We start from the raw sequence: 14,213 nt of genomic DNA, 5'->3' as shown, positions 1-14,213 counted from the left end.
ATCACTTGAGGTCAGGAGTTCCAGACCAGCCTGGCCAATATGGTGAAACCCCGTCTCTACTAAAATACAAAAATTAGCCGGACGTGGTGGCGCACGCCTGTTAATCCCAGCTACTCAGCAGGCTGAGGCAGGTGAACCACTTAAACCCAGAAGGCAGAAGCTGCAGCGAGCGGAGATTGTGCCACCGCACTCCAGCCTGGGCAACAGAGTGGGACTCTGTCTCAAAAAAAAAAAAAAAAAAAAGGTTTATACCAGAGAGAATTTCAGAACTGCAGGGGCATCCTCATATACACTGCTTAAAAACAAAAGGCTAAGGACAAGTCACCTTTTCCTCTCTCACACGGAGGCCTGCGCTCCCAATTGAGTACAGCTACTTACATGGGGGCTATAAAGGGTTCAAGGAATGTCCCACCTCAACTTTAGGAAATCTTTGTAGACCAAAAATAAATGTACATCAAAGAAATTTTTATTCTAAAAATAAAATTAATATGCTTTCTTTTTCTGGTCGTCAGATTTTTGACTCCCTCCCATCACAAAAGGCTTATGATCAACAGAATATGCAGCTTATTTGGCAAACTAAATATATATTCAGTTCAAACAATCAGATTATTCTGATCTCATGTAAAAGTTAGACATCTGCTCAAATCAGAAGGGGAGGTGAGCAGGGACATAACTCACACTTATGACATTTAAAACCATCGTGAAATATTTGTGATTTGCAGTTACAGATGAAATGCCATCTCCCAATCTCTCGTAACAGAGAAGGGGCCTTAAATATTCACTAATCAGTTTTATTGGAAAGTAGCAATTTCAGACCAGAAAAATCCCTACATGCAAGATACAAAAGCCAGTATCAGCAGTCTGCAGGCACAAGGCAGGGGATGGAAACTCCAAACCCTAGCTGCAAAAAGCCAGAGATTCCACTCTGGGAAAGACAGAGGAAATCCTTTCAATGGGAAACCACAGGAGTAGATTACTGTGATTACACTTCAAAAGCAAAGGCTCTGCCACAGAGACACATAATTGAGAGGAAAATGCTGCCCCTTGATCAGCAAAGTCGGGCCCCCTGCTATATACTCTCCTGCATTCATAAAAAATAAAAATAAAAAAGGGGGAAAGAGCCATAAGAAAACTCCTCATCTCCATCTACCACTTACCACCTCCTTCCAGATCACTGGCCATGTTATAAACTGCCTGCCAAATGAAATGTATCAAAAGATGCAGTTTAGGGGCATCAAAGGCAAGGATGCCTAGCAGCTTGTCCTTCCGAATATATTCAGAACAAACAGCTAGCAGACAGACCCCTTGCATAGGGAGTTCCCCTGCTCCAAGCCAATAGAATTACAAGACCCTCCAGACTAGCTGGCTACTGGAACCTCTTACAACTTCTTATTGCATCAAGGAAAACCAAAATGACCCCCAAAAACGGCTGAAATAACAGACTAGACTTTTAAGGTAGACCTGGGCTGAATGTCTTATAACCCAAAGTAACCACTTTGTGAAACTCACAGATTAAAATAGCTGCAAATTCTCCATCTGACCATGACCGAGGAGAGAGCAGAGAAGACAGAGCCAAGAACTCAAAACTTCTAAGCAGAGATATACCATTCACAAAAATGTACCACCCGTGGCAGTGGCACCAGGAAAGAGAAACTTCATAATTTTATTTAAATAAAAGTCCAACTGAGGAAAGCTCCAGTTCCAATCCAAGGAAATAGAAAGAAGTGACCAGGCGGCAACCCTAAGGAGCTAAATTTAGTACTCAACAGTGCCAAGGGCCAGCAAGAATAAGAACAGAGAGGGTTGGGCCAGGAGCTGCCAAAAAGGTGTCCATCAGAGAGGAGAAGTCTTGACCACTACTCATTTTATCATCCTAAATGCTAACTAGTTGGGGCTAGTGTAAACCTAGAGCTATAACCTTGGCTTTTGGACATTTAAGTATTATTACTCCTTGTGCTTTCAATTTATTCCTGGCTAGATTTGTTATATGACTTTTAATAATAATAATTAAAAAAATGCATCCCTGGCTCTTTAACCAAAAGAACCCCCCTAATTGATTCCCACAGTAATTAACCTGCATTTTACCTCAGAGAGCGGTAGTTAAGGAAGTCGGCACTGCTATTTATAACTCATCTCAAATTGAGGGCAGACTGCCTAAAATCTAACACATCCCAGCTGTACTCCTGTTTGAACTGGGGCCAAGGGAATTTTTTAAAGCAATCTTGGCACCGAATGAATGACACCAACAGTATGAGAGCGCGAGTGGTTGTGTTGTGGTGACGTAGCATTGGAGGTGGAATGGAGAGGGGGGCCAGTGTACTGTGATCCCTCTGGTGCATGCCTGCTGCTTGCTGAGTCCCAGTACAGTAAGCTGGGAACCGCCCACTGAGAGCCAAACACAGGAAAAGGCTTTTCCTGTGGAACGCCTTGAAGTGAGAAACACATGGCTAATCTGCATAAACTCGAAGCCACACCGCCCCTGCCAGGAAGGTTAGTGCTCGTAATCTCTGGCCATGAAGCTGGCTGCCTGGGAGGACTTGGACTGGCGCCTGATAACCCAGAAAGAGCCGAGAGAACAGATGGGTAAGGACCCCAGCAGAAAACAGCCCCAGGTCACATGACTCGCCACATGGCCCCGCCAGCACAAACTATTGTCTGGCTTCAGAGCTCCCTATACAAAGGCACCCCGTCCTCCGCTTCCTGTGATTCCAGGGACAGGCGACAGCTGTTGATCCAGTTCCAGTATGGGACCCTCCCCTGTGATAGGGCATTCCAGGCAGGGGCAAGTGTAAAAATTAAGGCCTCTCCCAACCAACAGCTTTCAGCTTCCTGCCAGCTGCACGTGGCTCACTTAGATCTCAGGAGTAATATCTTAGGACAGACTAGGCTTCCACCAAAAAAATCACCCTATGTACCCTGGTACATAAAATGACCAGCATAAATCATTCTCATTGTCCCTTCTCTCCCCAGCCAGACAACTGTATCTAACGCCCCTTATCCTGTCTTTTCTATATCCCCTAGTATTTCAGACCTTCTTTGAAGACTAGTCAAGAACCCCTAGCCCCCAATTGAGGAGAAATTGTCCAGAAACATGTTTGTCTTAGTTTTACTCCTAGACCCCGCCTCCTAAAATAAGGAGACTACCTTCATCTTGTTTTAAATAGTGGGGAAACATGACTTTTTATATGACCTAGGACAATAAGAGATTTCTAACCTCCTATTTGGCCTCAACAGAGACAACACTAAAGATTTCCTGAAGCCAAGCTGATGACAGGAAAATAAAAAAATCTCATTAGATTATACCAACACCTGTCACAGGGAATCAAACCCACTCAGCCTATGATTCTCTTCATTCATAACCTAGGAACCATAACTCAGTTTTCTACTTCACAATTCCTTCATTCTAGTTCATTCAAGTTCTAAACAAACTGACCATCTGCCTTTGGTGAGAGAGGAATCAACAACTAGTTTGCAACTACCACTCCCCAAAAAAGTTTTGTTTTTTAAAAATTCTTTCAAACTTCCATAAATTTCCAAGTGGAATAAAAATTGGCCAGACGCAGTGACTCACGCATGTAATCCCAACACGTTGGGTGGCCAAGGCGGCAGATCGCCTGAGGTCAGGAGCTTGAGACCAGGCTGGCCAACATGGTGAAACCCCGTCTCTACTAAAAATACCAAAATTAGCCTGGCATGGTGGCACGTGCCTGTAATCCCAGCTACTCGGGAGGCTGAGGCAGGAGAATCGCTTGAACCTGGGAGGCAGAGGTTGTAGTGAGCAGAGATCACACCACTGCACTCCAGCCTGGGTGACAGAGCAAGGCTCTATCTTGAAAACAAACAAAAAAAACCACCACAAAAATCAGTGAAAAGTTCTATCTACCCCATTCTGCTTACAGAAACCATTCTAGAAGATCAGACACATTCCCCTTTGCAGACTTAGCCCATTCCAATGATATCCCCTGAAGCACTAGCCTGATCAAACCTCCAGGAAGGCGCTTGCAACCAGATGTCAAACCAAGAACATCTAGAAAGTGATGTAAAACAAGACAAAGGCCTCATTCTCTTCTGGGCTTAGAGATATATAGACTACCATATCTCTATCCTTCCAGACCAGAAGATAAGAGAAAACTCACTAAGGTTAGAAGAAGGAGACCAAAAGGGGAAGAGTCATTGAATCATGTAGCAAAACTCAATCAGATTATGAGAAACAACCATAATAACCACCTCACAGCTGTCTACCAAAAAGAGGCATGCCAGAAAAACCACAACCAAGTGACTGATGCTTCTTCACTTCTTTGGCACCAGAAAGGGCCCTTCAAATAAAGCAGCTACAGCATCAAACTAATGAATCCCAACAAATGATAAGTCCTTCTCTCTTCATCCAGGGCACTTTCATTAGCCACATTTTCCATAACAGGTGGCTATCATCATTTCCAGAGAAAATGCTCTTCCTAAAATGATGAAGATCACTTTTTCCTAAGACTAAACTTAACCAATTTCTCCCTATTTCAAACAAATTACAAAAGCCACTAAGGAAACCAAGTAACTTCTCTGGAAAAAATCCTTTCAGGTACTGCTTAAAACCAAGGGTTGCCAGGCGCGGTGGCTCACGCCTGTAATCCCAGCACTTTGGGAGGCCGAGGAGGGCGGATCATGAGTTCGAGACCAGCCTGGCCAATATGGTGAAACCTGGTCTCTACTGAAAATACAAATATTAGCCGGGTGTGATGGCACGCGCCTGTAGTCCCAGCTACTTGGGAGGCTGAGGCAGGAGAATCACTTGAACCTGGGAGGTGGAGGTCACAGTGAGCCGAGATCGCACCACTGCACTCCAGCCTGGGTGACAGAGTGAGACTCGGTCTCAAAACAAAAACAAAAACAAAAACAAACCAGGGTGACCAAAACAATAGTAAGACCCCAAGAAAACTATGAAACAAGAACCAAAATGTCATCTCATAAAATTAAACGTCCCCTTCTTTACAACTTTTTATCTCAAAAGGCAGCAGTACAACCAGGTGCAAAGAGCAGTAAACTGAGAGGCAGTAAGTACATCTGGGGTCCAATCCCAGTTCTCAGACCAACTTCCTGAGGGAGTGGTCAAGACAATCAACCAGGTTGAACCTCAACCTCCTCAGCTACTCAATCCAATTCTACCCTCCAGATTCTTAATTAGCAGGTCTGGGATGGGGGCCGGGCCAGGAATCTTTTTTTTTTTTTCTTTTGAGACAGGGTGTCTCAATCTGTCACCCCGGCTGGAGTGCAGTGGTGCAATCATGGCCCACTGCAGCCTCAACCTCCTATCCTGGGCTCAGGTGATCCTCCCACCTCAGCCTCCTGAGTAGCTGGGACTATAAGCACATGCCATCATAGCCAGTTTTTGTAGAGATGGGGTTTCACCATGTTCCCAGGCTGTTCTTCAACTCCTAAGCTCAAGTGATCTGCCAGCTTCAGCCTCCCAAAGTGCTGGGATTATAGGCATGAGCCACTGCGCCCAGCCAGGAATCTGTATTTTTAATCTTAAGAGAGTCTCGTATCCAGTCTGGGAGCATTTGGGCTACATGCCCAAAGGTTAACTGACAATCAAATAAATTAAGGTTGTACCTTTTTTTTTTTTTTGAGATGGAGTCTTGTTTGCTCTGTCGCCCATGCTGGAGTGCAATGACGCCATCTCAGCTCACTGCAACCTCCACCTCCCGGTTTCATGTGATTCTCCTGCCACAGTCACCCTAGCAGTTGGGATTACAGACCTGTGCCACCAGGGCCTGCTAATTTTTTTATTTTTGGTAAAGACAGGATTTCATCATGTTGGCCAATCTGGAAGGTTGTACCTTTTTTTTTTTTTTCGAGACAGAGCCTCGCTCTGTCACCAGGCTGGAGTGCAGTGCGTGACCTCGGCTGACTCCAACTTATGCCTCTCGGGTTCAAGCAATTCTCCTACCTCAACCTCCTGAGTAGCTGAGATTACAGGTGCATGCCACCATGCCCGGCTAATTTTTGTATTTTTAGTAGCAACGGGGTTTCACCATGTTGGTCAGGCTGGTCTCAAACACCTGACCTCGTGATCCACCTGCCTCAGCCTCCCAAAGTGCTGGGATTACAGGTGTGAGCCACCACGCCCAGCCCAGTTGTACCTTTTTTTTTTTTTTTTTTTGAGACGGACTTTCACTTTTGTTGCCCAGGCTAGAGTGTAATGGCGCGATCTCGGCTCATTGCAACTTCTGCCTCCCGGGTTCAAGCAATTCTCCTGTCTCAGCCTCCCGAGTAGCTGGGATTACAGGCGCATGTCACCATGCCCGGCTAATTTTTGTATTTTTAGTAGAGACGGGTTTTCATCACATTGGTCAGGCTGGTCTCCAACTCCTGACCTCAGGTGATCTGCCCGCCTCAGCCTCCCAAAGTGCTGGGATTACAGGCGTGAGCCACTGTGCCCGGCCTCAGTTGTACCTTTTTAAAAAGAAAAAAAAAAAAAGTATAGAGTTTCACACCACTTTAAGCAAGTCACTTCATCCCTTGGCACCAGAATCATCTTTAAACAGGGATTAAAAACTGTTTAACAAAAATATGAGACAGTTCAAACGATAAGTATGTGAAATGCCTGTTATAGTGCAAATCCATCTCCAGCACAGAGTGTCTCTAGAATTCAGATGTACATTCGTTTTCCTTAGCCAAACAATGGTCTGAAGAGGGCAGTGCCTGGCCAGTAAAGAAAAGCTAGAAATGCACCTCAGATTCCCAAATGAGCAGCACTTTCAGCCAAAATCAAGCTTCCCCAAATTCCTATACTCAGTCTCAGATTTTTCTGGTTCACCTGGGCAAGTATCGTAACATACTAATGCTTTACTTATTTATCTTGTTTGCTATCTGTATCCTTGACTAGAATATAAATTTCAGGTAGGCAGAGATAAGAGATATGTATACAAAACAAACAAATGCTCCCCTATGCCCAAAAGCAGGAAAGGAAAGGGGAATGTAGAAGAGAAAGTGAAACTCTAGTGGCCTGGCAATTCCTGTCCCTATTAATGCTGAACTGAAATGCTTTGGATCTACAGGAGTACCCCCCATTATCCTTGATTTTGCTTTCCAAGGTTTCAGTTACCCACGGTCAACCACAATCTGAAAACATTACATACAATAAGATATTTTGAAAGAGAGAGACCACAATCACATAACTGTTGTATTTTATCATTAGTTATTGTTAATCTCTTACTATGCCTAATAAATTAAACTTTATCATAGGTATGCATGTATAGGAAAAACAAAGTACAGTCAAACCTTTGTATCCATGGGTTCTGCATCCACAGATTCAGCCAGCCTCAGATCAAAAATGTAGTTAGTAGGCCTACGATGGTTGTGCCTGTACTGAATGTGTACACTTTTTTTCTTGTCATTATTCCCTAAACAATATAGCATAACAACTACTTACATAATATCTACGTTGTATGAGGTATTATAAGTAATCTAGAGATGATTTAACGTATACAGGAGAATGTACGTATTAATGGTTTATATGCAAATACCATGCAATTTTATATATTCCACAAATTTCAGTATCCTCAGGGAGTCCTGGAACCAACCCCCTACGGATACCGAGGGGCATTTGTACATATAGGGTCTGGTACTTTCAGGCACCCACTGGGGGTCTTGGAAGATATCGCCGCACAGATAAGGGAGGACTATTGTACATGGCCAGTTCTAGGCAGTGGCTTAAGAGCTCTGCCCCTGCAGTGCCTTCAACTTTTGTCTCTGTTTCCTTATCAACAGAACAGATAGTAGTACCACACTTCAGGGTCGAATAAAGTAAATAAAGAACAAAACAACGGCTGGGTGCGGTGGCTCACGCCTGTAATCCCAGCACTTTGGGAGGCGGAGGCAGGTGGATCACCTGAGGTCGGGAGTTCGAGACCAGCCTGGCCAACATGGAGAAACCGCGTCTCTACTAAAAATACAAAAATTAGCTGGGCGTGGTGGTGCATGCCTGTAATCCCAGCTACTCAGGAGGCTGAGGCAGGAGAACTGCTTGAACCTGGGAAGCGGAGGTTGCGTTGAGCCAAGATTGCACCTTTGCACTCCAGCCTGAGCAACAGAGCAAACTTCATCTCAGAAACAACAACAACAAAAATAAATAACAACAAAAACAAACAAAAAAACTGTTCCTCAAATCAGCTGGGCATCCTCTAGCCTCAGAGCCTTTGTATTCATAGATCCTTCTACCTGGAATACTTTCTTCACCCAGATATTAGTATAGCTCACTTTCATGTCAAATATCACTTCAGTGTGGCCTTCCCTGGTGAACTCCTCTAAGATTTTAACCCTGCACACTCCTATACTTGGTTCCTGATTAACTTTTTCTCCCAAGCATGTATCACTAGCATACTATATATATGATTCACTTATTTATCTTGTTCAATCTATATGTCCTGTGTATGTTTAATTCACTGCTGTATCCTCTAGCATCCAGAATGGCAGCTATCATCATCCTACACAAGTGCTAAGTTTCTGGCAGTAGAGCTTGGAAATTTGTAGAACAATTAATGTCTGTCCCATACACTTAAGACCAGAAGTCCAAAGTCATCAACTAGAGGTTAACTGACAATCAAATAAATTTAGGCTGTACTTTTTGAGAAAGAAAAAAAAGTATAGTTTCACACCACTTTGAGCAAGTCACTTTATCTCTTAGCACCAGAACCATCTGTAAACAGGGATTAAAAACTGTTTAACAAAGATACAAAACAGTTCAAATGGTAAGTATGTGAAATGCTTGTTACAGTGCCAGTTCATAAAGCACACACACAATACTTCTCTCTCTGCACCCTCAATAGGAGAAATGGCAAAATGGGGTTGAGAGCAGTTTCAAAATACCTACTTAAAAAACATGAACACACAAGTCAGACACCAAAAGGGTTGGCCAGTCCAAGTCTCAAGCACCACCTACTTTCAGTCTGTTCTCCCAGAGGATTTTGTTCAAAGCTCCTTCCAAGAATCCTGACAGTACAGCCAGTAGTATTCAACCGGGGCAATACCAACCACTGAGAAGTGTTTGGAAATAAATGTATGAAAGCGCCTTTTTTGGTTGTCACAGCAACTCTATAGTGCTACTGGCATTTATTACCCGGGGAGCAAGATGCCAATGTCCTGCAATATAGCACCACAAAAAGAAGAGCCTTCCTGGCCAGGCACAGTTGGCTCACCCTGTAATCTCAGCACTTTGGGAGGGCGAGGCAGGCAGATCACCTGAGATCAGGAGTTCAAGACCAGCCTGGCCAACATGGGAAAACCCTGTCTCTACTAAAAATACAAAAATTAGTTGGGTGTGGTGGTGCATGCCTGTAATCTCAGCTACTCGGGAGGCTGAGGCAGGAGAATGGTTTGAACCTGGGAGGCAGTGGCTGCAGTGAGCTGAGACCACTGCACCTCACCCTGAGTGACAGAGTAAGACTCCATCTCCCCGTAAAACAAAAACAAAAACAAAACAGAAGAGCCTTGCTGAGGAACAATGAACTCTAGCCCAGCATGCCTCAATGGATAACTTCCTATAAAACTTGACCCTAGAGGGAAAGGGACTCAGAACTGACCAGCACCCATCCTAAGATCTCAAGACTACAAAGCCACCCATCAGACAAGGTAAGCATAAATAAAAATTTAAAAAAACAGTTGTGTTGTTCTCCAATGCATTTATTACAACTGTAACTACAGTTATTTGTGCTTATCTGCTTACATATTTTTCCCCACTAGAAAGTACTCCATGGAGGCAGGAATTATGAATCCTATGTTCATAACATACTATCTGATTCACTGTAGAAGCTCAGTAAGTGTTTTTGCATTAATGTAAGCAACTAGCATGTGGCAGATACTCACAGGTTTTTTTCTTTTTCTTTTTTTTTTTTTTTTTGAGACGGAATCTCGCTGTTACCCAGGTTGGAGTGCAGTGGCGCGATCTTGGCTCACTGCAACCTCTGCCTCCCGGGTTCAAGTGATTCTCCTGCCTCAGCCTCCTGAGTAGCTGGGATTACGGGCATGCACCACCACTCCTGGCTAATTTTTGTTATTTTTAGTAGAGATGGGGTTTCACCATGTTGATAAGGCTGGTCTCAAACTCCTGACCTCATGATCCGCCCACCTCAGTCTCCCCAAGTACTGGGATTACAGGCGTGAGCCACCGCGCCCAGCCTGATACTCACAGGTTTTTCAAAAAAGATTCTGCCATATGACTTCTTACATTGGCAAGGCCCAACTATTTTATGTTTTTTTTTTTAAGACGGGTCTCCCTACATTGCCCAGGCTGGCCTGGAACTCCAGGGCTCATGTGATCTTCCTGCCTCAGCCTCTGCAGTAGCTGAGATTATAGGCGTGTGCCACTCTCCCCAGCATATTTTATGCTTTAAATTAAACAACATTTCAACAACAGGACTGGGCAATTAAGTGAACTTTAAAAAGTTCTTATCCTAAAAATTCCTGAGAAATGGAAAATATCATCAAAGTCTAGGAAATCCTGATGGTACGCAAAGACACACTGGTATACTGCATCCCAATATATGCTCAAAAATTAGAAAATTTGTCCCCATGTGAGGTGATATAGATTGAAATCAGAAAAAGGTACTTCCTCCCACAGACCATCCTCTGGTGCTTCTACTAGGAAAAGGTCCTTGGTATGGATGGACCACATGCCCAACTGAATATTGCTGTCCTTTTGATGTTTTCTGCCCTACTTATCATTACCTACCATTAAGTGATATGGTACACTTAAGGAATACATGGAGGGGCAAGAGTAACCTTACAGAGCTTTACCCAGGTGTGCACATTCCAACTTTTGTTCTAAATGCATCTTCTGATCTAGTTTCTAAAATACTCCTCCCTCTTCCATGTTAAACTAATTTGCAGATAAGTGCTAAAAACAAACAAACAAATAAACAAAGTAAATAAAGATAAAAACTGCCCCTAGCCACAAAACTTCAAAGCCTCGTTTTCTTTCTCTAACTTCTCCCATTCTTTTTATTTTATCTACAACTGCAAACTTGGGCTGGTCTTTCAGTTATACAAAAAAGACGCTAAATTTCTCTAATACATAGTTCTATATCCCGCCAAAGAAGGTATCTGTGACAGATCACTGAGCTGTAGGAACTGAAGTTACATGCAGTCTGGGATTCTGTTTGTCATCATGCTTGTACATCAATCCAATCAAGTACTGTATGTTGATAAAAACACCAAGAAGCAGCAGCAATGCCACTGTTTATTTCATTAATTCCTAGGGCTGCCTTGGACTACTTCCCCAAAATACCAGTCTTTCACTAGGTCCCCCTAAGTCCACTCTGAACTATAGCAGGCACAATTAAATAAGTTAAAGAACGGCCCAGGGAATAGTCAACCTTATTAAGATTATATATGCGGCGCGGTGGCTCATGCCTGTCATCCCAGCACTTTGGGAGGCAGAGGCAGGTGGATCATGAGGTCAGGAGTTCGAGACCAGCCTGGCTGACATAGTGAAACCCCATCTCTACTAAAAATACAAAAATTAGCCCGGCATGGTGACACACCTGTAGTCTCAGCTACTCAGGAGGCTGGGCTGAGGCAGAAAAATCACTTGAACCCAGGAGGCGGAGACTGCAGTGAGCCGAGATTGCGCCACTACACTCCAGCCTGGGCAACCGAACGAGATTCCGTCTCAAAAACAAACAAACAAACAAACAAACAAACAAAAAAGATTATAGATGCATCCAAATCCTCAGGTTTTAAGGTCAGCAATTCCCTGGATGGAAAACCAGAGTACTACAAATTCTACAGTTCTTCTCAAAGTTCCAAAAGTATGCTGGTACATACCAACCTCATCTACACCACTGTCTATACAAACTATACAAGTATGTACAGGAGACCCTCACTTCATGATTTATCCCAGGAGTATACAGGGCCATACCAGTCACCAGCTGTCTTTTCAGAACCTTATTGTCTCTATTCTTTGCCATCTCTGGCCAGTATAACCAAGTTGGGATGGACACTTGGCATTCTAAACTAGCCAACATTTAACTCTCTTTTTCCCTAACCACTTCACAGTCTATGATGCCTCAAAATTTCCCTTTGGTAAATGTGTTTGGCTGGGTGAGCCCAGCTATCTTAATTTCATTTTAACCCAAAATACCATAATGAGACCACATATTGGTCACTTGAGGTTTTATGTTGGAGTTTTAAAGAAGCCAATTCAAAGTGGCATTGGGAAAGCAGAGGATTGAAATCACAAACTGTAAAGAAAAACAATGTTACAAATCTGTACTGGGTCAACAGAACCCCAAAAACAGATGAAGGAATCTGTCTCCAGACCAAAGACAATAAAGTGGGAAATGAGAAGAGGTAGAGACCATTTAGGAACTTGTTAATCAGACATAGACATTTCCTGCCTCTAGTTAGCCAGGCTTTTCCAAGAAAGGAAAGCAGATACTAAAAATCTTCACAGGCTGGGCGCACGCCTGTAATCCCAGCACTCTGGGAGGCCGAGGCAGGCAGATTACTTGAGGTCAGGAGTTCAAGACCAGCCTGACCAACATGGTGAAACCCTGTCTCTACTAAAAATACAAAAAAATAGCCAGGTGTGGTGGTGGGCGCCTGTAGTCCCAGCTACTCGGGAGGCTGAGGCAAGAGAATTGCTTGAACCCAGGAAGTAGAAGTTGCAGAAAGCCAAGATCACGCCATTGCACTCCAGCCTGCGCAACAAAGCAAGACTCTGCCAAAAAAAAAAAAAAAAATCAATCTTCACCAAAATGATGTTAGTCTGAAACTGGTGTATGTTGTATCTCCATTTTACCAGCTCTGGTGTGGTAAAGTTACTGGAGTTTCCATGTGCTCTGCATTCTACTAATGCAGAGTTAGACATCAAAGGAGAAAATGAAAAAGGAAAAAAGAAAAAGCCAAGAACAGAGAAAATAAAGCTTAAAAGTGATAGAGTTTAAAACACACATGCACACACAAACATAAGATTCCTTACTAAAGTATTCATCTGTACATACAAATATGAAATCACAGATCAAACTGTAGTCTCCTCCTGGAAACCACTGCCTTCATTGCAGCTAGGTCCCAGTGATCACAGCTACGCTTCTCAGGCAGGAGGAAAAAGAGGCCTGGTAGCAGAATACTTGTTTTTAATGGGAAGGACAGAGAAACCACATAAGGTGTTCAGAAAGTCCAAATGAATTAGAACACTGGTTCTTCACTTGGTCTTCAAACTGTTAATATTTATCACCTGACCACTTCTGTAACTCCCACATCTGTGCCAAGCACAATCCTTATTCATTAAGTTATACAACTGGAGACAGGTCTTGGCTCAAATGTCCACCCCTCAGAGAGTCCTCATTCACTGCAGAGATGAGGTGGCTTGTTCAGGAATCTACTTAGAGGGTTTATTTTTATTTGAGACAGGGTCTTGCTCTGTTGCCCAGGCTGTATGTAGTCCAATAGCACAATCAGGTCTCACTGCAGCCTCCAATAAACTCCTGGGCTCAAGTGATCCTCCTGCCTCAGCCTCTCAAGTAACTGGGACAATAGGTGCATGCCACCAGGCCCAGCTAATTTAAAAAAAATTTTTTTTAAGAGAGACAAGGTCTTGCTATGTTGCCAAGGCTGGTCTCGAACTCCTGGGCTCAAGCAATCTTCTCATCTCAGCCTCATAAAGCACGGGGATTACAAGTGTGAGCCACTGCTCTCGGCCTACTTACAGGGTTTATTTACTAAAACTTCACAAGAAGAGACACAAGGAAAGGAATTCACAGCAAAACTCAGACTGGCCACTAAGAAGTAGGGGGTGAGGGAGAGAGGTCAATAAAGGCTTACTGTGAGAACACCAAATCACCCAACGCCCTGTTCTCAGATCAGACAGCCATCACAGGCAAAAGGGACATCATGGCATTTAATTAGTGCTCCAACACTGACCTTTAAGTGGCATTTTCAAGAATCACTTTCTTGGAAAAGTGTACTGTATTGGCCATACTTGGAGACCACCACAGTCAAGATCCTATTTTTTTTTCTGTATATAGACAGGGTCTTGCTGTGTCACCTAGGCTGGAGTGCAGTGGTGCCATCATGGCTCACTGCAGCCTCAGCCTTCCTTGCTCAAGTGATCCTCCCATCTCAGCCCCCACGTAGCTGAGACTACAGGCGCGCATCACCATGCCTGGCTGATTTTTTTGTTTTTGTAGAGATAGGGTTTTGCCATGTTGCTCAGGCTGGTC

The 14,213-nt window shown here is 43.7% G+C and overlaps 1 protein-coding gene across 2 annotated transcripts in view, besides 8 other annotated features; it reads right to left on the bottom strand.

The window, feature by feature from the left end:
- The window catches only part of ARID1A (AT-rich interaction domain 1A), an 86,090-nt gene that overhangs the window by 56,009 nt on the left and 15,868 nt on the right, over positions 1-14,213 (bottom strand). The gene's annotated exons all lie outside the window — the stretch shown is intronic.
- Positions 127-706: an enhancer, noted in NCBI's record as "NANOG-H3K27ac-H3K4me1 hESC enhancer chr1:27051881-27052460 (GRCh37/hg19 assembly coordinates)". NCBI's record gives its function as "activates a minimal SCP1, AML or CMV promoter by ChIP-STARR-seq in primed H9 embryonic stem cells {active_cell/tissue: H9 hESC(primed)}" and the evidence as "EXISTENCE:reporter gene assay evidence [ECO:0000049][PMID:30033119]".
- Positions 707-1,286: an enhancer, noted in NCBI's record as "OCT4-NANOG-H3K27ac hESC enhancer chr1:27051301-27051880 (GRCh37/hg19 assembly coordinates)". NCBI's record gives its function as "activates a minimal SCP1, AML or CMV promoter by ChIP-STARR-seq in naive and primed H9 embryonic stem cells {active_cell/tissue: H9 hESC(naive and primed)}" and the evidence as "EXISTENCE:reporter gene assay evidence [ECO:0000049][PMID:30033119]".
- Positions 1,287-1,866: an enhancer, noted in NCBI's record as "OCT4-NANOG-H3K27ac-H3K4me1 hESC enhancer chr1:27050721-27051300 (GRCh37/hg19 assembly coordinates)". NCBI's record gives its function as "activates a minimal SCP1, AML or CMV promoter by ChIP-STARR-seq in primed H9 embryonic stem cells {active_cell/tissue: H9 hESC(primed)}" and the evidence as "EXISTENCE:reporter gene assay evidence [ECO:0000049][PMID:30033119]".
- Positions 1,287-2,996: a biological region, named in NCBI's record as "heart enhancer 10".
- Positions 1,682-2,967: an enhancer, noted in NCBI's record as "VISTA enhancer hs569; mouse transgenic reporter assay". NCBI's record gives its function as "enhancer in: heart[4/9]" and the evidence as "EXISTENCE:transgenic organism evidence [ECO:0001131][PMID:17130149]".
- Positions 1,755-2,996: an enhancer, noted in NCBI's record as "heart enhancer 10; zebrafish transgenic reporter assay". NCBI's record gives its function as "activates a minimal c-fos promoter by transgenic reporter assays in zebrafish embryonic heart {active_cell/tissue: heart(embryonic)}" and the evidence as "EXISTENCE:transgenic organism evidence [ECO:0001131][PMID:20075146]".
- Positions 3,027-3,606: an enhancer, noted in NCBI's record as "H3K27ac-H3K4me1 hESC enhancer chr1:27048981-27049560 (GRCh37/hg19 assembly coordinates)". NCBI's record gives its function as "activates a minimal SCP1, AML or CMV promoter by ChIP-STARR-seq in primed H9 embryonic stem cells {active_cell/tissue: H9 hESC(primed)}" and the evidence as "EXISTENCE:reporter gene assay evidence [ECO:0000049][PMID:30033119]".
- Positions 3,607-4,187: an enhancer, noted in NCBI's record as "H3K27ac-H3K4me1 hESC enhancer chr1:27048400-27048980 (GRCh37/hg19 assembly coordinates)". NCBI's record gives its function as "activates a minimal SCP1, AML or CMV promoter by ChIP-STARR-seq in primed H9 embryonic stem cells {active_cell/tissue: H9 hESC(primed)}" and the evidence as "EXISTENCE:reporter gene assay evidence [ECO:0000049][PMID:30033119]".

Source organism: Homo sapiens, chromosome 1 (genome assembly GCF_000001405.40).
Source record: "Homo sapiens chromosome 1, GRCh38.p14 Primary Assembly".
Classification (NCBI taxonomy): Eukaryota; Metazoa; Chordata; class Mammalia; order Primates; family Hominidae; genus Homo; species Homo sapiens.
The sequence above is the reverse complement of the archived record's forward strand: the minus strand, read 5'-3'. Positions and strand labels throughout refer to the sequence as shown.